The sequence below is a fragment of the Homo sapiens genome, chromosome 13 (assembly GCF_000001405.40).
Source record: "Homo sapiens chromosome 13, GRCh38.p14 Primary Assembly".
Classification (NCBI taxonomy): Eukaryota; Metazoa; Chordata; class Mammalia; order Primates; family Hominidae; genus Homo; species Homo sapiens.
The window spans coordinates 110,219,122-110,245,814 of record NC_000013.11 but is presented as its reverse complement, the minus strand read 5'-3'; the positions used below and the strand labels follow the sequence as shown (position 1 = coordinate 110,245,814).

Below are 26,693 nucleotides of genomic sequence, written 5' to 3'. Positions count from 1 at the left end.
GCACCGGCTGGGGGTGTTTCTGTACCAAAAGCACAAGAAGCGTCTTGACCCGAGGGTCCACAGTCACAGCCTTGCAGCCTCTTATCTGCAGTCCCAGGCAATGGAAGCATTCACGGATGGCTTAAGGGCCCAGTTCCAGGAAATTCATTTTTATAACCTCCCTCAAATTGCAGAAAGATAAAGCTTCTGAGATTTTATCAACCTTTCAGAAAACTCCAGATCACCAAATAGCCATTTTCAGCTTCAATCCCTTAAATCCCTGCTTAATCTGCTCTTTCCCAGAAAGCAGCAATTGACTCACAAGTCGAAAATCCACACTACTTCAGGCTGGTGTTGAGTTTCTGCCAGCTAAGCCCAGATGACTGCTGGACATTTCCTAAATGGACTCTGCAGATACATGAGACTTAGCCTGGTGGGTTTTCCTTTTGGTATCTGTAGGAGGGGGATGAAACACTGCAGAGTTTAAAGAACAGAGATGTGTTTCCAAACTTGGCTCAAACGCAAACAGGTTGTGGGCAGTGGCATAATCCCAGCAAAGAGGCTGCCCCGAAACTCCAGGGACTTGGAGATGACCTGGTGATGGAATAGCTGGTCTGGACGGCTCCAGGTGTCAGGTGCCAGATGCCAGCGCACTCCCCAGAGTCCCCGGCTCTTCCCTGGCTACTCTGTGATCTGGAGCAGTCAGGTAATCATTGCCGAGTTCCCTGTTTGGAGCTTTGTCCCACAGTGCTGTTGTGCACGAATGCACTGTGGTTGAGGTGCGCGGTGCCACTGGATTTCCATCTACAGTTGTTACTTAAGGTTGCTTAGATGGGTAACACCAGTAACAGCACCAAGAATACAACCATAATTGGGTACTGATTTCATCAATTCTAAGATGTGCATTTATTGATGTTTTAACAACTCTGGAATTGGGATAGATCTAACAATTGATAATGTGTCATTGTTTAATTAGTACCCTTCTTGATTTCTTAGTATGGGTTTTACAATTGGTGTCGTCTTAGATGAAGTACAGCTCACATCAGGCTCAATGCTACGGGAGCCTGGTGTGAGCTGTATGTGAGGCTGCCTCCAAAGCACTCAGGGTGTACCGGGGAGACACAGAAGTAAACAACGAGAAACGTGATAAGCCTGACAATAGAGACATGCAGTCAGCAATTCGCAGGAGCCAGGTAGGGAGCAGGTGACCCTCACCTGGGGATTAGACACATGGTAGTACTGGCTGAGTTAGGTACCTCTGGTGAGGTCTCTCAGTACTGGTATTTGTCCATTTTGGAAGAACCTCCTGGAGCACAGGTTACAGATTTTGGCCTCATCTCTTTGGATGCCTCTGAGTGGTCACCAAAACCCAGATTATGAAGCAAATCTGTGCACATGGATTGATTTAAAATGTTAGGAGGTTATGAGAGTGTAGGCTGAAAATTGCCTAAAATGTGAGTCAGAGAAAAACACAGACCTATCATCTCTGGAGTTTTTTTGGACTGTTGTCAGCTGTCCCCATTTCCAAAATATAAAATTGAGAACAGCTTACTGTCTTGGAGGCACTTGTTCAGATTTAGCTTTACAAAATAAATATCTCCAGATGTGATTGTTTTATGCAGGCGTCTCCATGGCAATGCAGCTGAGGCTGGAATATGTTGTTAAAAATATACACTTTGCATGATCACAATACTATTAGTGGCATGATTTTATTTTCAGGAAATGATAATCACCTGAAGTAGAATATAAGTAAACATTTTATATCAGACTTAAAGCAGAGCCTCTAATAAAGCTTATTAACCCGATTATTCATCTCATACCTCTTTACATTCTGTCCACAATACCTGTGTCTGTCATGGTTTAAAATTGGGATTCTTCTAAGGAAATTGCAAGTGCGTGTATGTACCGACGTATTTCTATCTTTTCATGTGATGACAATTTTACATAATGGAAATTGAAGTTGGGTTCTAATTTCAACTTTGTCCTAGCGTGTTATAATAAATCTTCTAATTCAGTTTCCACATCTGTAAATGGGGATGGCACTACCTATCTTGAAATGCTTGTTATGATCATTAAATAAGATGATCGCTGACTGTGCGTGGCACCTGGTAAGCGTTTGAACACGTGGTAGCTTGCTTCCTTTCCAGCTTTTATCACAGGCTTGGATTCATTTCCTTCCATTTTAAAAGTTAATTTTTATGTTAGAAGTGAACTACAGGCTGGGCACAGTGTCTCATGCCTATAATCCCAGCACTTTGGGAGGCTGAGGCGGGTGGATCACATGAGGTCAGGAGTTCGAGACCAGCCTGGTCAACATGATGAAACCCCATCTCTACTAAAAACACAAAAAATTAGCTGGGTGTGGTGGCGGATGCCTGTATTACCAGCTACTTGGGATGCTGAGGAAGGAGAATCACTTGAACTGGAGAGGTGGAGGTTGCAGTGTGCCAAGATCACGCCATTGCACTCCAGCCTGGGCAACAAAAGCAACACTTTGTCTTAAAAAAAAAAAAGTGAACTACAAGAATATTTTGTTGTTGACTGTTCTTTAATGTGACGTTCAAGCTTTAATTGAATTCAAAAAGGAGTTCTTTAAGATTGGGGCTTAAAAATCAGCTCATTCCTTTATTCTGTTCTGTACAAACTTTTTTTTGCGCGGCCGTGTGTCCTTGAGACCACGTCATTGGGAGCTCTCAGCCTCCACGGTCTTAGGTCTGACACCTCTAAATAAGAAGCATGACATTTGGGTAGCTTTGCAAATATGGGTGTTGCCCTGTTAAACTAATCCCCGAGGGAGTCAACTTCAAATAGAAATTAACAAAGGGCAAAAAGTATAGGTGACATTGTTCACTTTTTGGGCTGAGTAACACTTGGGATTTGTTCTACTCAAGGATTTTTTTTTATCTATTTGGGCAGGGGATCTGCACCCTAAGTGGAACTGCATGACAGCCCCATGAAAACCAGTGCAGATAAGATTGTGTCCGAAGGACAGGGCAGGCTTCGCTCATAAACAAGTCAAGATGCCAGAACCATCTCCATTTGCATAGTGCCCTCGCTTTGAAAGTGTTCTTCTATTTAAAGAAGTTTTCTTTTCCTTCCAGGGTGGCTGTGCTGGCTCTGGCTGTGGCAAATGTGACTGCCATGGAGTGAAGGGACAAAAGGTGAGTTGCCGAAATTTAAATCACAACATTTCTTTGTGAATTGGACAGTAAGTACTACATTAACAGTAACCGAATAATCAGCAATTCAGGTGAAAGCCTTATTACTGTTTTGATAATTTCCCCAGAGCAATACAAATGAAGCCAAACCAGGCTTGACATTACTTCTGAGTAGTAATATTATTATAATAGCTCTTCTCCAAAGAATGTAATAGTATGTGGCAATTAATGTAGAAAAACATATTTGGTTTATTTTCCTTTTTGACTCTTGGTAGAAAATCTGTTGAATCTATCGTACTTTTTCGAATTGATGTATAAGAACTAATTTTAACATTTTTCCGGAAAAAGAAACTAGTTCCTATTCTACTTGAGGACCTTCTCTTCAAATTAGTATTTTTAAACCATCTTTTAATCCATCACATGCTTGTCTAGATTTATTTATAAAAATATTGCTTGGGAAACTTAGTGTTTCCCAAATGTAAAATTAAAATGTATTTCTTTGCAAGCAAACTGTTCCCCTCCCTTTCATTTAAGAACCAGGGCTCCAGATAAAGATAAGTTTCTCTGGAAGGCAAGTTGAATCTGTGCATTTCAGTTGGTTGGAAAGAGGGTGCCTGGCTGTTTTTTTATCCAGAAAACAGTGCAGCATCCTGGTACTGTCTGTGGGTCACCGTGGAAACCAGGTGTGGCTGTGAGGAAATGCCACCACCTTAAGCCACTCAGCCTTTGGTGCAGGTGCGCACAGCAGGTTGGGACCCTGTAGAATGGAGTGGATACTCTGTAGGATACTGTTTCCAGAAAGCTGAAGGTGTCATTCTGGCTAGCGTGTGAATTCTTACTTCCCTCCCCGGCATGCCAGAGGTTTTATGGGGCCACAGACTGATGCTTTCGAAATTCAGCAAATTCTAGTTTACAGAAAATTCTGTGGTTTCTTTTTGACTATTTGCTGAAATGCCAACATTATTATTTTAAAAAATATGCCTGATAGGTGATGGCACTAGTGTTACCTGGATAGTTTTTGAATGAATGGAGTATGTAAGGAAAGTTTCACATCTTTTCATATCAACTCTAATTTATCTTCATGCTCTGCTCTCTTACTTTGGATTTTTCTAGCGATTTCCAGTGTGCATGCTCAAGAGTTATTTTAAAGTAGACGCAAGTGTTTCTCATGCCACAGACATTTTGTTAAAAACCTAACTTGAAATATACAAGTGAGTTCACCAAACTCATAAAAATGTCCTTAAAATGATAAAATGGAGAACTTTGGGGTCCCAACAAAGAGGAATTAAGGCCTGGATCATGATTACCTCTGTTTTCCATGTGACTTTGAAAGCAGCAGGGCTGGAGCCAAGTTGGCCCTGCTCCCTCCTAGGGACAGCAGGGTTGATGTCCACCTCCATTTCCATTTGCTTCTGTCCAGCCGGCAGGCCTTGGCGGCCCCTCCTGGCTCTGGAGCTTTACATACTTTCTTATTCTATCCGCATCTATAAACTTATATATATTTTTTAGGCCAGGCATGGTGGGTCACGCCTGTAATCCTAGCAGTTTGGGAGGCTGAGGCAGGAGGATCACTGGAAGTCAGGAGTTTGAGACCATCCTGGCCAACACGGTGAAACTCAGTCTCTACTAAAAGTACAAAAATTAGCCCAGCGTGGTGGCACACACCTCTAGTCCCAGCTGCTCAGGAGGTTGAGACAGGAGAATTGCTTGAACCCAGGAGGCGGAGGTTGCAGTGAGCCAAGAACACACCATTGCACTCTAGCCTAGGCGACAGAGCAAGGCTCTAACTCAAAACCAAAAACCAAAAACCAAAAAACTTGTAACTTTTTTAACGTAATTTATTTCAGTTTTTCCCAAAAATCCACTCATCAAAACATGACAAGGGAGAATGATAGGGTGTAGCCTTCCCTACCTGTCAACTGACATCTCCACAACCTGGTAACACCCCTCAGAGCCAAGCCGCTTCCACTCCGAGTGGGCTACACATGTGTGGGGAAGGCAGGGGAGGCGGTGTCCAGCACCTGGCCTGAAGGAAAGGGGCCGCCAACATTTCATCTCAACATTGCCCAAGGAGGAGCCCTTGCTGGGGGTGGCCCCCTCTGGCCAGGCGAGGTCTGTGCCTGTCCTGGCTTGGAGCCTGCGTGGGGCTTGCGCCCTGCTTAGGACAGGAAGGCAGAGAAGTGTGGGGCCACGTGGAAGTTGTGTCCCGAGGGAGGCTCCATGCCAGCTTCCTACAGGGGCCAGCTTTAGCCTTGACACTGGGAGTCAGCAGAGCCCGGGCCAGGACTGGGATGGAAGGAGCAGGATCCTGCTCCCCTCCTTGTGTGGCCTTAGCCAGGTTTCCCACCAAGGGACCTAGGCCAGGGAGCCCAGCACCTCCAGGACTTTTTTGGCCTGACCTGCTCCTCTACACTCCTGTTTCTCCATTGCCAACTTTGGGGTTCTTACTGTTTTTTTTTAATTTTTTTTAATTCCATAAAGAACATTTAAAATAAAATGCTAGCAAGCTCTACCTTAGACCATTCTGAATTTGTGATTTAAAAGGCAATGATGATTGAATGGATTCAGAAGACCTCTTGAAGTCTAGGCCTAGGACAATAGCTAAATGGTTTAGTATTATATCATTTTAACAAAAATGGAGAAGGTCTATTTTTTTCTCATCTTGAGCATAAACATTTCAGGTCCTATGGTTCACACAGCATTGAGAAGGGGAAAGAGCCCTTCCTCCCACTGACAGAGGAAATTTTAAACAAACTTCCCCTTATTGTCTTGGAAGTCCTGTTAAAATAATCAATTTAATGATGTGAAATGCCTCAGCTTCACTGAGCTAGGGTTTCCGATCTGGTTCCCTTTCTCTCATCCCAAAGTCAGCTAAGAAAGAAATGTACTCTAGGCTGGCAGGTCAAGAGAAGAAGTGGATCTTCCTCAGTGGCTGCCACCTTCTACCTTCTGCACTTCCTGCCACCTTCTGCATATTCAGAGCGTCCCAGCCCTAGAAATGCCGACCTAGTGTAAAAACAAAATGACTAAAGGGGTTGGAATAATGGAATACAAATCTACTGGTTTAGATCACTAGTCTGCTTATGAGCTGCAACTGAACGCCTTCTATCCTCATAGAAATTATTTTGATATTCTCAAATGTCTACACATTAAATTGATTTTGATTGGTTGTTCTTTAAACAGGACAGTAGGAGGCACAGCTGAGATGCAGTTAAAGTTACCAAGCTGGGTCAGAATGTCACAGCCTTAGAAATTTGGAAATTATTACTTCTAAGACATATTTTCCCACGTCTCTTTGAGGAGCACTTTGACACTATTATTTGCAAACCATCAGTATCCTCAACAGAAACTGGAATATCTCCAGTACAAATCTCTTTTGACTAAGTTCTGCTTTCTATGGCGATATGACAGAATGGACAAAATGTCTTATATTCTGTAGATACTATAAATACATTTTAGTGCAACAGATCATTGCTGGCGTTATAATCTCATAGTTTTCAAGTAATCAATAAATACTAGATAGCTTGATCTGAGTTCAACAGTTAAATTCAGCAGGTTTCTACTGGATTTCAGAGAGTCTTTGCTGAGTTGTTTATTTTCCCACTTGCTTGGAAGGCCACTCATATCTTCAGATGTTTTCTGTTAGGTAATTAATTTGGCCTTGCACACAGTGGCTCTGTGCTCCTCCAGAGACTGCGGCAGTGTGGGAATGCTGTCTGCTTGTACTGATTAGGGTTTTGAATGCTTGCCTTCACAGAAATAGCCAAAAGTTAAGCTCTTCTTTTGAGTGATAATTTGATTTTCTCAAGTATTTAAGATAGTAGGAAAGGCAACACATTCCCAGAAGTTACTGCTATATGCTAAGGAAATTAACCATTTATGTTTTGCTAAAATAGAGTTTACACAAGACCTCTTTCAAATAATCTAACCTGGGAGCCCACGTTTCCATAACACTATCACCATAGTCTGTGACCCTGCAGTGTCCAAAAAAGGGAATTTAAAGTTAAACTAGAGATGGAAGACTGGTGTACATAAATAACAAGGCGAGAGTAAACCATCACATTCCAGGAGAATCTGTTGGGAAAACAAATACAAAAGTCTTTCTGAGAAGGAAGTGATCCCTGGGACCTGGAGCATAAAATCAAGGGACAGCTTCCCCAATTCAGCAGGACCCCAGCCTCTCATGTCCTCACTAATTTGCCAGGCTTGCTTAGATATAGACTAGGTTCTTCTGTCACACGTACATGTGAAGACACATGTTAATTGAACTGCATTAATCAGAGAAAACAGCTCTTGGGACCAGCTGATAAATGCTGTCATAGCAAAGATTTGACGGTTTCTACTATAGTGACTCCAAAAAGGGACATTCCCAAGCCACAGTCTTGTGAGCAGAGTCTCAATTAAGTAGAATTGTAGCATTTCTAGTGAGTAGTGACAACTGTGTGGATATCTCATACCTTCTTGTAATACTTTAACCCTGCTGATACCCAGATCCTCAGCAAAGATATAGAGAAGCAGCACATTATCCTGTTATTACTAATTAGATTGTCTATAAATCACAGCTCCTGTCCACATTGGCTCTGCATTGCAATAATATTGTCATCAGATAGAACAACCAAGACTGCTTTCCAAGCAGAGAACTTTGAAGATGGCATTGCTATCTGTCTGTCTAAAATGTGTATCTTATCTGATTTGAAAAGGCTGGAGAAGTCTGTGGCCAGTCTGGAAGTGATTTCATTGCTGGCCCAGGAAATCTGGGAAGAGTTTAATGTCGTGTATGGCTGAGCTTGTACAGGATACCCTTTCTTTTGTTATGGCAAACAGTTTGTAGCTTTACCAGCCATTTAGCGCCTAGATATTTGACACAATCGGTGTATGTCCATGTCACACCTTTGTATAAACCTGTCTCTCTGCATCTCAACATTTGGCTATAGCTGCTGCTTTTACACAACGGATCTAGGCTAGGATAGAAAAATCCTGGCTTGTGAGTGTCAGAGCAAGAAAGAGAAAGAGACTGTATCTTGGGCCAGGCCTGGGGCCGAGTATGTTTTATGCACATTATTGTAATATCTATTATACAGTGGAAGAAACCAACCAGCCCGGGCTTTTTCCACTTGGTGGTATTGACAGTTTGAGTGGGATAATTTTTGGTTGTGGGTCTGTCCTGTCCATTGTAGGATGTCGAGCAGCATCCCAGCCTTTACACATCGGATGCCAGGAGCACCCCCACCCCAGCAGTCGTGACATAAATATATCTCCAGCTGTTGCTGAATGTCTCCTGGCGGGGGGTGGGGGGTGCAGACTCACCCTGGATGGAATACCGCTGAACTAACCCCATCTTCTATAGCTAATAAAAGACAAATAACAGGATTCAGGCACTAACCAGAGTACGACTCAGTTTCTACTCCTTCAGATAAGCAGACCCTAATCTGAGGGAGTCGGGCCAGCTGAAGACACGGCTCAGAATATCCGAAGTCTTGAGCAAGTTCCTTTCCTCTTACTGACTCTGTGGCGGACCCACTGCGCCCCAGGCCACCTGCCAAGGACAGCAAGCCTTCTGAAGCCTTTCTCTAACGGGTCGGGACGGGGAGGACTGCTGGAGGACCACAAAGAAATGAGCCTACTCCTCTGGGGCCCTGGGCAGACCTCCCAGTTCCTGTTCTACAGGAGTCAACGTGGGCCTCCAGCCCGGTTCAACAACTAACCCACAGCGAGCCCCTGTGTGTGACAAGGGGCAGGTCAGCCAGTCAGCAGCCACTCCTGCCCCATTGTCCCCTCCTGAGACAGGTTAGGGGTGCCCAGCCCATCAAAATATGCATCCCACCCCATTCTGGATTGCTTTTCCCTGTGCATTAGGAATAAAACCTCTCTAAGGGGAAGGCATTTTGAAGTAAGCCTGTTTCAGGCCTGTGAGAGGTCTGCAGAAACACCCCCAGCGTGAGCACTGGGTCACCCCACAGCCCCTGCCTTTCGGAAATCCTGGTGTAGAGTCCGCTCCACAAGGAGCTCCTTCCTCTGTTTGAAGGCTGGTCGTCTTCACTGTGTCTCCGCGATTACCCAGGACGTGGGCATGGCCATGCTTCTCACACGTCCTCTCTTTGACTCAGGATCATCGACTTGTGCCTCTGCCTCCTCCACATCTGGAAGAGGCATCTTCTTTTCCCTTTTCACAGGCTACTTAGAGCTGGAGAGGGATTGTGTCTGTCAATCCTTAGATACATGATTAATTAATCAACGCATGTTTTTCAGTTGTTACTTTGCTGGGCACTTTGAGAGATGCAAAATGAGCACTCTTAGTATATTTCTCTCAAGGACATACAAAATAAGAAGAAAAATATTATCTGTAAGGAATACCATAAATCTAATACCTAAATACAAGAAGAGAAGAGGACAGATTTTCCAGTCTGTTGAATTAGATGTGCCATTTTACATTGATTGTTTTTTATTAGCTCCCATTGCCAGAGACATTGCAATGTCTACGTGATAAGGAGTTTAGGCTTGAGCTTGCATGCTGGTTTTAAACACATCATCTACAACATTCTAGTCGTTTTTGTGCTATATTGTAACAATTGTCAAAGTGCCTTAGAATCTAACATTACCTTTAAGGTATGGGACTCACTTTTTCCTAAGATCATAAATTTAGGGTATTTTCATAGTTGTAATTAAATCTTAGATGAAATTCCTTTTTGAGACAGGGACTGTACTTTATTTGTATTTTTGGAGAATTCAATAATCTTCAATTTATAAATATATTTATTTCCATGATCTTTCCTCTAATTTACACATGGGTAACAATAGACATAGTTTTAGCCATGTTTTCATTATGAAATTAAAATATACAAGGACAGAGTGCTTTAAATATTCCACCATATAGATAGATGGACTGGCTCTTCTCCTGTTATTCCTTGTTATTCCTAGTATCTGTGTAGAATATATTTGCATCTCCAGTAATTATTAAAGAATAATAATTACCTTCTTGTATGATTATCTTTCTTGCATATCTTCTTTTTTTTTTTTTTGAGACAGAGTCTTACTCTGTCGCCCAGGCTGGTGTGCAGTGGCGTCATCTCAGCTCACTGCAAGCTCCACCTCCCGGGTTCACTGGTTCACGCCATTCTCCTCCCTCAGCCTCCCAAGTAGCTGGGACTACAGGCACCCGCCACCATGCCAGGCTAATTTTTTTGTATTTTTAGTAGAGACGGGGTTTCACCCTGTTAGCCAGGAAGGTCTCGATCTCCTGACCTTGTGATCCGCCCGCCTCAGCCTCCCAAAGTGCTGGGATTACAGGCGTGAGCCACTGCGCCCGGCATCTTCTTTCTTTTATTGCTGTTTTTAACAGAATATTAAAAAATTTTTCCTATAAATTATATTAACCATTGTTTTAAACGTTAAAGGTGTTATGCTTCTTAGATACTAAATTCTTTACTCAAGCACATGAAAGCAAATATTTTTGTGTAGACTCTTTGAAACTTTGGATAAGTTCATTCATTTGAACTAATAATGGTGAGTTATTAATAATAACAGTAATTTATTAAGTACTTAATATGTGAGACGCACTGTGCCAGATTTGACTTAGTGAGAATTTCAAATCTAGTCTATTTAAAAAGAAATTCAATTTTCTTACTTATAAGGTGTGAAATATATACCATAAAATCAAAACGCATTAAAAAGTGTTCCTTAGTGTACAATACTAGGGGGATTTAAAAAATAAATATAAGCTTTGTTTAGGTAGTGCATTAAGCATATTTGAGATTACTAATTTTTTGAGATCAATTGAATGCCTTTGTTTATACATGTTTTGAATATTCCTGAGAGACAATAGTGTCTAGTTTAGCCTTTCCCAAAATATGATCATCAGACCATCTTTAGGATGTCAACAGATGTTTCCTCCGGGATGGAAACGGGAAGAGGTTCCAAGGACACAGGCGTTTGGGGAAAACTGAGTTCAGGTTAAATGGACATTTGTTGTTTTGCCCTGGGATGTCTCAGAGCCTGTAATAAGATAGTGTATCATCTGGACCTTCCGTGGGTGCTGCGTCATATACAGTTCCCCACACTTATTTGAACGCCCCCCTGTTTTTTTCTTTTTCTTTTTTGAGATGGAGTCTCACTCTGTCACTCAGGCTGGAGTACAGTGGCACGATCTCGGCTCACTGCAACCTCCATCTCCTGGGTTCAAGTGATTCTCACGCCTCAGCCTCCCAAGTAGCTGGGATTATAGGCGTGTACCCCCCCACCTGGCTAATTTTTGTAGTTTTAGTAGAGACAGGGTTTCACCATGTTGGCCAGGCTGGTCTGGAACTCCTGACCTCAAGAGATTTGCTGTCTCGGCCTCCCAAAGTGCTGGGATGACAGGCGTGAGCCACTGTACCGAGCCTCTGACCCTTTTTATTTCTGAAGCCAGGAACGGCCTTTGTGAAAGAGTGGATCGGTGGATAAAACCTTGATTCTAGTGTAAGTTCCCCCATCTACCCACTGTTTTTCACCAAGTTGTTTTGACCAAGTTATGCCCTGACCTGGAAATTCCCCAGAGTTGCTAAAAGAACTGAATGGGGGATACTGTACATAAGAGCACTTAAGCAACTTAAAATGTCACATGTAGGGACATATGCGTGTCATGTGAATAGCAGCTGCATTTTGAAGTTGCAATAAGTGTGAGGAAAATGTGCTTGTTAGCTCAGCTCTAGACAGATCCATGGATAGAAAGACATAGACATGGATCCCCATCCAGCTAAGTATTTGCAATCCGCAGGTGAAGCCTGGAAACCCAGAGAAATGGACCTGTTCCATCCGTGACAGAAGCGCTCCCAGGACCTAAATTAAAGGGATGTTAGAATGTTTTGAGAATCTTGGCAGGGCCATTAGGTAGTGTTTGTAGCTTTTGGATGCTTTTGGTGGAGGGAAAATGAGATGGGCTCACTTGGGAGGTCTGCCTGCAGTTTCCATCCAAATTTCTAATCAACGTTGTGGTTTTATCATCCATTTCCGGAATCATTACCCCTTAAAATGTGAGGAAAACGACTCTCCTTTTCTTCAACTCCCCAACTTTTCCAAATACCGCTGCGAGTTTTTGTTGCCAACAGCTTTTCCCAATGTGCGTGTACTTACCAACGTCCAGACTCCTCCCTCCCATCGGCCAGCCTTGCTTGGTCTAGCTATTATTCAAAGGGGAACATGCGTGAGATATCACTTCGTTTTTGCCATCTAATGGATTCCACCCCCCAAAGTATCTGACTTTGACACTCAGGCTCATCTGCAGGACCCGAGGGTGTCTTCCCTCCCCTCCCGTTGGCTGGCTAAATGGGTTAATAGAATACATTCTCTTTTCCTTTTCCGTGTTTTGTCTGGCGTTTGCAATGCCAAGATTTTTTTCCAGATGTCCCCTATTTCCTATTTCCACATACCGCACATGAATCATCATCTGGCAGAGGAATCGTGAGAATCCATGTGATCAGTGTGCGTTCCCACATTCACCTACTTTTGTCTTTTTTGATAGTTCTTTGAAAACAATGAATTTTTTTAAAAATATGCCTGAATTCAAGGGTAAAATATCAACAATGTACCCTAGAAAAGCCCCTGGAAGCAGATCTATGCTAAATGGTTTATTTTATTCTGCACACGAGGCCCACCCGTCGCTGGCTCCCCTATGCCTTGGACGTCACTGATACACACACATCCCGTTCCCGAACAGGGAGAGTGAGCTGCACATTCTCGTTTCCAGCTCCACTTCCTAGTTCTGCCCACCGTAAAATCTGCCCTTTTGCCATGCGCTGTGGGACCTGTTAGACTCAGGAGAGACCATCATACAAATTGATGGCTCTTGATTTGCAGCTGTATCTGGAGCTTACCGAATCTAGTGCAGCTTTAAAAATAGGGAGCCGATTCTGTTTCCAAGTTCAGAAGGAGCAGCAGAAAATGAAGTATCTCGAATGGCAGATCACATGCCATGACTTTTAAAGCCCAGAGCACTCTCCAGGAGTACAGGCTGTCATTGGTGTGGCCCAGCACCGGCAGCCTCTGTCCCGACTATTTATGGGAAAAAATATTTTTTTGTAAATATGATCTTGACAAAACATTGGCTGGCAGGAAAATAGCTTTCTTTTCAGGGGAGCAAAATGAGAGTGTATATTTTAATTCAAGATCAAAGACTTAACATAAAACAAACCCTGACAAATGAAAACTGGGCAATGGGATTTTCCTCCTGTTTGTTGGTAGAATATTTTGAGCATTCAAACACGTTTCTAGACAGCAAGTTGTGATGCTAGATAATTAGGTAGTGTGGGTGTGGAGAACTGCACGCTCAAAAATGGTATTAACAGACCTTCATCCTTGTGAAGTGGTTTAGCACAATGTGCAATTAAACAAAGGAAGAATTAGTCAGAGTTAACGAGCAAACCAGATGGCTCTGGGGACGTGGTGCCCCTTTGTCAGATTTTTCTTCCTTTGGCAAATCCATTAAACATGGTAAAAGTATACTTCATATAGCTTAGCTTTGGTTCGTCACATAGTTTTATGAGTTTAATGCTAACTGGCCCCAAATTCAATGATTCTGGATTTCCTCACATGAGAATCTGACACGAGAAGCTAACAGTGATTCCTGGCTAATTTCTAAAAAGCTGTAGTGAAATCAGAAGGGTTAAAGACCCTTGGTACGGTTTCTCCTTTATTAGATATTTGGACAAATACCTGAAGGTAATGAATGATAGATGTGAATTTCTTACACACGTCTTGCTAGAGCTTGAGGACTTAACCAGAGAATTTTCTGTGGGCGTCCCGCTGTAGCATGTTAGGGCCTTAGGTTAATTTGCCCTCCTAGGTGAGAAATCCACAACCCTAAGACTTGAGTACCCAAGTCTGTGGCATGTGGTGACATGCTTGATTTTGAAGTGGTTTTCCCTAGAAGATTGGTAAAGGAATGACATCTGTCTATAGTAGAGCCAGTAAATTCCTTGAGCTGGAGAACCAATGTCCACTCATCCCAGTGCCTCCTTGTCCTGTGGGCTCCTGCTGTACCCGTGGGCCTGGGTAGTGGCCAGCGGCAGTCCTGGAGCCTGCCCTACAGGTTCATGATGGAAGATGCTAGCCAGTAATAGCACAACTGAACCCCCAAGTGAACACTCTGCTAAGACCTCCAGGGAGGGAGAAGGCACGGCTGCGAGAATGGATGTCCAATGGGAAGAAATTGATCTGCAGGGGGCAGGGAAGGGCAAACCGAACGGTCATTCGCAGGCCCCAAAAGCTCAGGCAGCCGCTCAGGTGCGGTGGCCCATGATTTACGCCTCCAAATTCCATTTCCCTGTTTGACGTCAGGTTTTTCCCGATTTGGAAATGTTGGTGCTTTGAGAAATGTCCATGGACAACTGTGCCTCCTCACCTCCCCCTTCTCACTTCCACGTACAAGACTCCAGAATGTTAAAGGACACATCTCCATGAGTGTGAAACTGTTTGTCGCTGTTTGACTCTCTGTGTCCCCATGTGGGGCTCCCCAGTCTCATCGATATGTCCTGGGCAAGGGCAAGAGGCACCTCGGTGGATCTTGTTCCCACACTGACTGTCTCCTCACCACGCGGGCTGGAAATGCTGTGTGTTTTTCTGAGTCAGGGCTTTGGGAGGCAGCACCCTGTCTCCAGGTTCTTGGAGTTTTATGGATGCAACGTCATTAATCATCCTGACGGGGCTGATGTGGGTGGCAGGTGTTGGGTTCTGCCTCCTGATTGGGAGGAGGGGCTGGGTGCCCTGCCCTGAATCTGAATGTAGAGGCCCTGGGTAAACGGGTGTGCCCTGTCCTGCCTGGACCACACATCAGGAGCCCTGGGAGCAGAGGTTCCGGGCGGCTGGAGGCCTCCTTGCTTCCGCCTCTGCACGTGGAACCTGCATTTCTTCACAGGAGACCGTGGCTCCACAGGTGTCCTGCCTGTCAGGGCAGAGGAACATACCACGGGGGGACTTCCAGCAAACGTGAGGAACAGCACGCTGGCGTGACTGGGGCAGAAAGCAGAGTGGTGTTTTCTTCTTTGGGGGCCTTTGATAGGGACCTGGGCAGGGTGTGGTGGGGGCCGGAGGTGCAGTGGCTTCTGCAGGAGGCTGGGGAGGCTCCCCGTGGTCTTAGAGGAGGTGCACCACCCGTCCCACCTCACTCGCCCCCTTTACCCTTCTTCCCTTTATAAAATTTCTGCCCTTTCTGTTCCTCCCACCACAATTTCCCATCCACTTTTCCTTTCTCTCTGTTCAGGGCTCATGTACACCTGTGTGATTTTCCAGGGTGTCACGACGAGCCCTGATGACCCGCGCCTGCCACCTGTGTGCTTTGTCCTCTCTACTTCACATGTGTGCATGCACACATCACGTGCATGCACATATCACATACACGCACACACCACACACATACATATACACGCACCACACACATAACATATACACACACCACACACACATACATACCACACACACCACTTACATATACATGGAACACACACCGTGCACACCCACACCACGGGCACACACTCACACACACACGCACTTTCTTCAGGAACCTCCCAGCCCTCCCCCTCCACCACGTGGCCTGAATGGAGCCCTCCTCGTCCACCTGTTTTGGGCTTGGTTCTGCTCCTTTTTCCTGAGTGGGGGATTTTGGAGGGTGCTGCCCTTGGGCACTCAGTGTGGATTTGATGCTGTGGAAGGGGACAGGAGAGCTGGTGGGCCAAGCTGGGAGGGCAGTTACCGTGGAGTGAGAGCCAAGGCCAGCCGGCAGAAGTCACCCACAAGAGGGTGAACGTCGGAAGTGGGGCCCAAGGAAATTACTGACATTTTACAGGGCAGAGGCATAGGGCTTTTTCTTTTCCTCTTAGTCTCCCCAGGATGCTGTAATAGGATACCACAGACTGGGTGGTTTCAGCAGCAGAAGTGTGTTCCTCCCGTGCTGGAGGCTGGAAGTCCAAGATCAAGGCTCCAGCAGATTCGAGGTCGGCTGTGGACCCCTTCTTCATAGGCAGCGCGAGGGCGGGGGCTCTCTCTGGGGTCTTTTTTCTAAGAACACTAATTCTGTTCATGAGCCTCATCACTTCCCAAGGCCCCACCTCCATGCCATCACCTTGGGGGTTAGAATTTCCACACAGGAATTTGGGGCGGGGCATGGACATTCAGAACACAGCACTTTTATTATCCTGGGATGCAGGACACGTACAGTGATGTGTGGCGACAAAATGCATCCCAGCTGTGTTTAAGTAACTGTGTAATTGGCTGGAAATTTCTCAATGTGAAAAAATTCGAGTCATTCAGATTTAAAGTTGAAAACCTCCTAAGAGGAAAGAGTTGGGACTCTGACCTCTAAAACCCTTCTAAATGTTAGTGTCCTCTGAGTTGAGATCTTTCCTGTGAAGCTGGAGGTACTTCAACACTCTACTGTTACTGGCCTTTCTAGAGCAAAAGCTATTTTACTGAAAAGAACTTTGGTATGCAGTACATGTCAGAACTGTCCACTCATTTGAAGTGAAGGAAGATCAGGCCCATAATGGGTGATTACTTCACAAGCAGACATTTCCTCAGTGTCAGCTATGTTTTCGGTGATGTATTCTGAGGAAAGGGGAGCGGTGACTCTGCAGTATTGAGCCAATGTGCCTTCATCCTCCCTGTCTCTTCACATCTGCTGATGGGAAAACCAAAGTTTGTGGAATCCCCAATGCCATCTGGTTTTCCTCCCCTTTTTCTTTTCTGAAAAATCACGTTCCAAGTTGAAGCAATCATAGCTGGGAAATTTTGTTACATTTTCCTCACTGTCTGTGGTTTTTTCCATTCGCTAATCAATTTGATTCTCCATATTTTATTCCTAAAATCATTTTATCTGGGCATGTGAAGTGGACGCTAGTACTTGAAGTCACTCTATTTAAATCTTGCCTGACTTTCTTAACTAGCTGTTCTGATTTCTGTCCTCCTCTAGAGACAATTGACCAGATGCCATTTCTTTGGGCTTCCTATTGGATAAGGCCGTGAACCCAAAGGGAGGGGGAAATAGATGATAATTTAGGAACATGGGAGTTGGTATAAGCATCCGTTTCCTTTCCTGTCTCACTCATTTGCCTTTAGGAAGTTATATCGTTAATCCTAAATGTGTGTCTTCCCTGTGTTTCAAAGAAGAGTCCCCCAGCCTGGAGGCTGCTCATTCGCATTCTGGGTCACGTGTTCCCTTCCAAGGCTTCCCTGTTCTCCCTGCCACTTGGAGGGGGCGCAGGAGCCGCCTGCTGGGTGCGACGGGCCAGAAGTGGGTAGTGACAGGCCCGGAAGTGGGTAGTCATTAAAAACTTGCCTTGCACGGAAGCTACTCAGTATGTGCCCTTCAAAATTGGATTTTTAAAGGAATCTGCTTCACCCAGTGACAGAGAAGAACACACATGTTCTTTTCCATCCTGTCCAATATTTTGTTCCTGATGTAGACCCCCCCCCCGCCCCCGCACCACCACTCCTCAGGGGCATCCTGTGCTTGATAGCGGGGTGTCAGCTCTGGAAGCATGTGGGTGATTTTACTGCAGAAGCACGTGGCTTGGCAGGTGCTCCGCGATGGTCCCGCCCAGCTGCGCTTCCTGAGTCCTGTAAGGCGCGTGTATGTCCCTGTGCATCCCTTTCCCACCTGTCACCGGGCACCTCTTGCCCAGCGAGGGTGACGTTCAAATGGGCACCTGAGGACTGTGTGTGCAGCGAGGTGTAGCTCCACCCAGGAGGGTGTATTTAGGGACCGCAGGGACCAGGAAGGGCTCTGGGATCAGCTCCTCCACAGCGGGCCTCCCCGGAGACCCGAGACAGGGCTGCCTCCCTGTCCTTGCCTGATTTGTTATCCCAAAATTCTGGGCCTAACCCACGGCAGGATATTTATGTGGAATATCAAATAGTTGTTAAAAAGATGACTGCTTTCCCTGTTTCTTCACAGAACGTGCTGATTCTCCCTGTGGAGAACCAAGGGTGGGCACCTGTAGGTTTAGAATTCCCATGAGAGCTCAGTTTCCACCAAGTTGGCAATTGTATATTTGGGAATCAAGGGAAGGCCATTTCAGGGTGCATGGCTGACTGGCCCTCTCTTGCCAAAGACAAATTGCCTCAGTGATGTGTCCCAGACCTCAGACCCTGGGAGTGGGAGGTCTGGGGGCGTGGGAACCAGGTGCCCCCAACCTGCCTCTTAGTGAAGCTTCTCTCTCTTTATGTCTCTCTGTCTCTGTCTCTTCGTTTCTCTCTCTCTTTCTGATTCTGTGTTTGTGTGTGTTTGTGTGTGTGTGTGTGTGTGTGTGTGTGTGTGTGTGTGTCTACCGTACCCATACTTGGTCATCTATCGCCCAATTGATGTAACTTAAAAAAAAATCCATATACGTGGGAAAGTGTAACATGTTTATATACTCTACAATCTATTTTTATTAGAAAGTTTATACCTCATAATTTGCAAACTGTAACCCAGTTGGTCTGTTTCCACATCTTAGTTTCTAGCCGAAGATCTCAATATTTTAGTCTATTGACATTAAGTAGTTAAGAAAAAAAGGCAGGAAATGATACTGTAAGTTTAATCTTTAAAACGTCTACAAAGTAGGCATAGTGAAAATGGCATTAAATAAGGTCTTACTGATAGAAATTTTTAAATAATTGGGCCACACCTTGGATTGAAATATATCTCCATATTATCTTTTGAAAACAGGCTTGCCAACTTTATGAAGAGCATTGAGGTGAAGAGAGATTAGCAGCTCAGGGAAGACCATTTTTAAGTATTTATGAAGTAGCTATTTATTGTCTTAATTAAGCACCGGTATTTTGCATTGAGTTTGCAATTATATGCTTTTCTTATCTATTCAGTTTTAAAACCAAGATTTTAAGCAAAACACAAAAGAAAAAACTTCAAGATGTTGGCTTAATTTCTTTCTTTGGGTGACTGTATATGTTTTAAAGGAATTAATGGTGTTTACTTAAAAGAGATTAAAATTCAGTTATTTATTAATTTAGATTGATCTCACTACTGCTTTTTCAAATTAATGAGGTTAGGCTAATAGTGGGTTTTGTAAAACCTCCAGCTCTGCTGAGATTACCTTGTATTCTATGGGCAAAGTTGGTTTGTCTAGTTTTAACCTGGCAATTGTATATCTGGGAGTCAAGGGAACTGTTCTTATCTCTTAGATTCCAAGTATGATTAATGGAGTATTGAAATTATTGCAGCATGCTGGGGGAAAATGTTATCAGTGATAAGATACAGACAAGTAACTTGCTTGGGGGTAAGGAAGTAATCTGGGGATTTCAGACCGGTGTATGTCGTTAGCTACTTCCAGGCTAACCATGGAGGAGTGTGGTGGCTTTACTAAGACCCAGGCTGACCTGACAGAATAAATGGAATGTTCTATGCTTGAACTGCCTGAATTACAGAGATATTTATTAAGGAAAAAACACAAAACCTTGAGTATAAGATAAAGGGGGGAGTTTCTTGAAACTGTCATCTTTTTTAAATACTCAAGAAATTCCAATTTTCTTATGTCTGTCTTAGCCACAAAAACAGGAATGAGATACTTCCTGGGTCATGACTTGTGGGAACACTAGCAGTGTGGCCTTTTCATTCTCTTTTAAAACATTCTGTGGCTTCAGAGGAAATGCAGCTGGCTTGTTGGACATAGAAATCGTGAGAATAAACACAAAATATTTACGTGTTTAAAAAGCAGTGAAGTCAGACCAGTTTCTTTCAGAACCATTTGTACAGCATTTAACTGAATACTTGAGCACGTTTGATTTTTAAAATAATGCTGCCAGGTAAAACAGGCAGGTGGAGTCATCCCTGACTTACAGATGATGGCAAAGCTGATTTTCAGAGCGTCCCAGGGGTTGGCGCTGGAGCCAGCACCAGAATTCCAGGCTTAGGTTCTTTGCCCATCCATGCAGTGACTGAAGAGAGAGCATGAAAAGCAGGGCGCCCGGAGCTCCGCGTGCTCACCCGGAGTGCAGGTGCTTGTTTTTGCAGTCATTTGAAATTAAGATTCCTAAATCTGCACCCTCTTGTAGATTTATATCATTTTCTTGGGATCTTTCCTGAGTCACTCATGAAAATATTTTATTTTTGTTTATTTATTTATTTATTTTTTGAGATGGAGTCTGCTCTGTCACCCAGGCTGGAGTGCAATGGCATGATCTCGGCTCACTGCAACCTCTGCTTCCTGGGTTCAAGCGATTCTCCTGTCTCAGCCTCCCAAGTAGCTGAGATTACAGGCGTGTGCCACCACGCTGGGCTAATTTTTGTATTTTTAGTAGAGACAAGTTTCACCATGTTGGCCAGGCTGGTCTTGAACGCCTGACCTCAGGTGATCCACCCGCCTTGGCCTCCCAAAGTGCTGGGATTATAGGCGTGAGCCACTGCACCCGGCCCAGTCGTGAAAATATTAATTGAGTACCTACCCTGTGCCATCTGTTCGAAGTGCTGGGGGGAGGGAACGAGAGGGAATGCCAGTCACTGCCTGCTGGGTTCCAGCATCTCCTGGAGGTGCTATGTACGCGGCTCTGCACACCCTGGCAAGGGAACCGCAGGGACTACGGAACCACTCAGAGGATGGGGACCCTGGATGTCCCCTGGCAGGGCACCTGTAAAACCCAATTTTGATAAATAATTATATCTAACACATTTTTAAGGAAAAAAAAAAGAAAGGTTTTTCTTAATTGCCAATGAGCAATTCTCTCAAGGTTTAAACCTGAAGACTGTCTTGCATGCTTTTGTATTATTAACTATAATTCTTATCTTCAGAGTATTTCATCTGCAATTTTCAAGTTTACTTTTATCACAGACCAAAAAAAGAAAAAAAAAATCCATCACCTACCTTGTGGTGTTTCCTGCCTTTGCTGTGTCCTCGTTTTGTTCCACAACGCTGCCCCACACCCACATACATTATTAAGTTCACGTTAATAACATCCTCGGCTGTCTAAGTACTTAGGCACTAATTGGCATTTTTCAACATTTCTGTTAATGTAGAACATGTCTTTCGAACCCTCAGGGGCCTTGCTTTGGAGCTAATGAAAATAAAGCAAAGTGTCTTTATAAGAAAAAAAATTAGGTCAGGAGCGTTGGCTCACACCTGTAATACCAGCACTTTGGGAGGCCGAGGCTGGCGGATTACCTGAGGTCAGGAGTTCAAGACCAGCCTGACCAACATGGTGAAACCTTGTCTGTACTACAAATACAAAAATTAGCCAGGCATGATGGTGCACGTCTGTAATCCCAGCTACTTGGGAGGCCAAGGCGCAAGAATCGCTTGAACCTGGGAGGTGGAGGTTACAGTGAGCCAAGATCATGCCACTGTACTCCAGCTTGGATGACAGAGCAAGACTCCATCTCAAAAACATATATATTTTTTTCTTATACAAACTCAGAAGAGAGCTAACCTCTTATTGATATTTTGTTATCAATTATTTATGTTCCTGCAGTCTTTCTTCTTACCCCAAATCTTTTAACTAAGTCATGACCTAGAATTGTGATAAATTTCATGGAACTTCAAAAAAAAAGACGGTTGTGCTGGTGAGCAGAGGCGTGATTTCATGTGCAGACTCTCAGCACCTCCTAAGTGTGATCATTCCTGCAATGGCTGGAGCTCAAGTTGGAAGCATTCATTTATGCCATGTGCATTTCTAGGTCTTTGAGGATAGTATTCCATATATATTTTTTTTAATGGAGTAAGTAAAATCCAAAACCAAAAGTTAACCAAAGTGTTGGCAGTGGTGACTGGGCATTTCAGCCCCTGCCCTGGGTTAGGGCTCTCTTGAGGGACATTCCTCAGTTGGCTTCCCAACTCTTGGCAGGTCAGTACCAAGCCTCTAAAGTCTACACGGAGGCTGCCTCTTGCTTGGTGTGTCCTGCCATCCTTGGGGTGTCACCCAGGCAGGAACCCCCAGAGAGCTCTGTGCAACTTATTTGGAGGATGGTTTTGCTACCACTGGGCTTTTTCCAGCTTTGTCATATTAGATAAAGGCCTCCTGCTGTGCCAACACCTAGCTTCGGTGGCTGATTTTGGCCTCTGATTGCTGCAGTGTGCAACATGCACAACCATCCACACCGTCCATAGCTGCAGCAAGTGAGGTTCCAAGCCTGTAGCAGAACACTTGTTTTCTGTACTGTTTTTCTCGTTTTGAAGATGTTTTTAAAAATATATATTTGAGAAACAGAATGTTAGGTAGTAGGTTTAGAAAGAGGCATCTGTGATTTTGGTTTTAATGAGTGTTCATGCTGATAGGTTAAGCAAAGGAGAGAATGTTATCATCTTTTTTGGGATCCAAAAAACTGGATAGATTTTTTTTTCTTTTAGAATTGGCAAAACTCAGGAGAATGGACTAAATTACCTTAATGCATAAGTTTTCTATAAACTTATAGTGGAAGAAGACCAAAGAAGAACCTTTACATAAGTTTTACTGGCAGTGGGATGTTTAGCAGTGGTTTCTTAGAGACCTCCCTGTGATTACATTTGTATCTATTTTATGCATGCTTTGTAGAATGTAATTTTTTCAGTATTTTCTATTTCCATACAGCTATTTTAAAAATTGAATTTGCTATTTTTTCTGTATTGTCATTAGATTCAAATACTCTCCCAATTTATAAAATGGATGTGAAAATGCTATCCAGAAAATATCCATCATTCTCATTATTTATAGGCTGACCGCATTTACCTGTAACGCAATAGCCTCGATATTCAGGTTACTAGTTTTTATATTTAATTTTAATTAAATTTTGAATCCTAATTAAAAATATTTACCATAGAGTTCTTTTAGGCCATATCAAAGTGATTTCTCTCACTCCGCCCACAGAATGTGTTCAATGGCACTGAATATTTAATATTTTAATAGTAATATATTACTACAATGAATATTTAGGAAAAAGCCTTAATTCTTTTTTTTTTTTTTTTTTTTTTTTTTAAAGCAGAGTCTGGCTCTGTCGCCCAGGCTGGAGTGCAGTGGCACGATCTCGGCTCACTGCAAGCTCTGCCTCCCTGGTTCATGCCATTCTCTTGCCTCAGCCTCCCGAGTAGCTGGGACTACAGGTGCCCGCCACCACACCCGGCTAATTTTTTGTATTTTTAGTAGAGACGGGGTTTCACCATGTTAGCCAGGATGGTCTCGATCTCCTGACCTCGTGATCCACCCGCCTCGGCCTCCCAAAGTGCTAGGATTACAGGCGTGAGCCACCGCGCCCGGCCTGAAAAAGCCTTAATTCTTTAAGGTCCACCAGGGAGGTTTAGTTTATTTGGGGGAAAATGTATAGTCCCAGAGCTCCCTCTAGTGGCGAGCAGCTGCAGCCCACGGAGACTCCTCACCCAAGCCCTGATTGAGGCCGTTGGTTCCTCCGCCCGGGCCTGTCACGGGCTGGATCCACTGTCTGCCAGAGTTTGGGTTTTCTCCAGATCATTCAGTGTCTGAGTACTTCTTCAACAAGGGGGTGCTTGGCTGAGATCCCATGGGTGTGTCTGAGGTGCCAGGGCCCGCCGGGGAGGGTGTGAATGTGCCTGTTTCACATGAAGGCAGCGCTCTCGAATGTGCTGAGGGGTGCCAGGGCCCTGGGGTGCTGCTGTGTGGGTCGCAGGTGCCTGGAGGTGGATGAAGGGTGGGTGTCTACGGACGCCCCGACCAGGAGCTTGGCCCTTCACATGGGCATTTGAATGTGTTGTTGATGGAGCCCGGAGCCAGGAAAATACAAGTGTTTCCAGAGAACGCACTGTCTGCTGGTGTGGTTTGATGCGAAAACGGAATTAAGCTGTTGATGACAGACGCGCTGCCTGAGCGCAGGCACACGTGGAATCTGACTGAGCAGGTTCACAAGCCTTTGGAAAAAGATCATCATCATATTTTTCTTCCTTTCCAACGTGGAAATCTGACTGCTCTGGGGGACTGACTTAAAATGGTTCTGTTTAACAATATTTGAAACGGAGTACTGCTTTGGAGTAAGAATTAATGAGAGCATTTTGGACTGTTTTTTCTGAAAAAAGATAAGAAAAAACTCTTGAAGATAATAGTTGCCTCTGGAGACCTTTGCTGCTGCTCACAGCTTTACTGTGCGCTTCCATGAGTGAGTCTCCACTTTCATCATGGACAAATGTCTGGAACTTTGGTAAGATTTAAAGACCTTTGGAAATTTTTAAGATTTTTTTTGGCTGCCAGTAATTTATCAGCACTCAGTTCTCCTAGAACATTTTTACTGGATCGGGGACGTCAGATGGTTTGTTTGCTTTTGGATGGCTTTCGGGGAACTTTTAAATTGTTTATAAGAAGACCATACTGAGGGCCCCCTTGAGTTATTCTTGTGTTGAATGATAGTTCTTTAGAAAGTATTTTCTGAAGGACTCTTTTTAATTCATTTTTTTCTTTTAAGCTGATGTGCAAAGTGGATTTTCATGGATCAGAAAATATCTATGGTTTTATTTCTTTGTAAATGTGGATCTATCAGAAATATTCACTGTGCATCTCCTTTGTAACCATCGCCTTCTAGCTTTGGATTACATATGACTTGAGTGTTCAGCTCTGTCAGTCAACTTCATAGTGAATGTTAAAATTCATATTAGAATACTTGAGCCTAGAATTGTGCCAGAATTCATCATGGGCTCAGATAATGTTTCAACATCAGGATTTGTCCAATAGAAATCTCTCCTTGAACATGGACACCTGGAGACAATTCTGCATTAAATGCTATAGCTGCAGGCAGGCTTTCGCTGAGCACAGGGTGGACCTTCTTCATCACATGGACCTTATCGTGAGGGCTTGGGATTTTCCACTCAAGAATCCTGGGGCCAGAAGTCCAGTATAAAAGTTGTAGTCCAGGCTTGGCCATACGGAGGAAGGCATTTTCACTTCTAGTTTATCCAGCCCAGCTCCCACCCCTCAGACCCCAGCCACTGTTCTTTCGGCCAGGAGACTCCAGCACTGAGTTCTCTCCCATTCTTCACACAGATTTGCTCATCTCCATCATCGGCAGCCTTGGGAGTAGTCAGAACCAAGCTAATGATAGTCAGAAGGAGGACGGTGGAGGCCCATGAAATGAGGAACTTGCCCAAACAACCCCACGTGCTTTAGAAGAGGCAGGACAAGTCCCGAAGTCTCCTAGAAATAGAACAGCTCTCATGATATCTGAAAGTCATGGATTTTGAAAGATCAAAATTCAAAAGATAAAAACTTTGAATTTTGATCTTTTCCTGGGCTAGCATTGTGCGATAGGCAACTCTTGCAATGCCAGTCAGGAGCCACAAGCCGTTCTGGTTTTCACTTTTGATACAGAATTTGATAAATTACACAAGATATTAAACACTTTATTATAAAACAGGCTTTGTGTTAGACCATTTTGCCTAACGTAGGCCAGTGTTTAAGTTTTCTGAGCATGTTTAAGGATGGCTAGGCTAAGCTATGATGTTGGGTAGGTTAGGTGTATTAAATGTGTTTTTGAGTTAAAAATATTTTCTATTGGGCTGGGTGCAGTAGCTCACGCCTGTAATTCCAGCACTTTAGGAGGACAAGGCGGACAAATCACATGAGGTTAGGAGTTCAAGACCAGCCTGGCCAACATGGCGAAACCCCGTCTCTACTAAAAATACAAAAATTAGCGGCGCATGGTGGCACACTACTATAATCCCAGCTACTGCGGAGGCTGAGGTTGCAGTGAGCCAAGATAGTAACACTGCAATCCAGCCTCAGTGACAGAGTGAGACCCTGCCTCAAATATATATATATATATATGTATATGTATGTATGTGTATATATACACACACATATACATACATATATATACACACATATATATACATATATATACACACATATATATACATATATACACACACATATATACATATATATACACATATATACATACATACATATATATACATATATACACATATATACATATATACACATATATACGCATATATATACATATATACGCATATATACACATATGTATATACATATATATACACACATATATATACACATATGTATATACATATATATACATATATATACACATATATATATATATACATATATATATATATTTTCAACTTACAATGGGCTTATTGGGACATACCCCATCATAAGCTGAGGTGCGTCTGTATGTGCTGCTCAAGCTCTTGCGTATACCCACATAGTTGATGGAGGGCCACTGCACACATTTCCTGATATTCACTGTCTCAAGCTAGACGTCTGGGCTGGAGGGAGAAAATGAGAATTTCGGGAAGAAGATACAGATTTGCAGCCACGCTTTTTATGCATGATTGGTTTAATCTTTGCTGCTTTAATGTTAAATATTTAAATGCAAGAAATAATAGTAATGATAAATGTAGCTGCTAAGTGCAACAATCCACACTGTTAAATTTCATTCACATACTTCTAGTGAACACATATACATCCTTTTAAGAGTTCAGTTGTATGTCTCATAGAGCAAAGGAGAGTGAGCACTCACGCCTTCCTCTTAGGCAAAGCAGACCCTCTAGGGGATCTCCTTGCATCTGTCCCCCCTCAAACTGTGGTGGCAGTATTCCTGCCCTGACGTCAAGCCTCATGGTGTGGAGGGAGCTCCCG

General features: G+C 43.8%; 1 protein-coding gene across 2 annotated transcripts in view; it reads left to right on the top strand.

Moving 5' to 3' along the window:
• The window catches only part of COL4A1 (collagen type IV alpha 1 chain), a 158,195-nt gene that overhangs the window by 61,343 nt on the left and 70,159 nt on the right, over positions 1–26,693 (top strand). For both annotated transcript variants that reach the window (NM_001845.6, NM_001303110.2), the window contains exon 2: positions 3,081–3,140. In NM_001845.6, coding sequence (NP_001836.3) covers positions 3,081–3,140 — 60 coding nt within the window. The remainder of the gene's footprint in view (positions 1–3,080; positions 3,141–26,693) is intronic.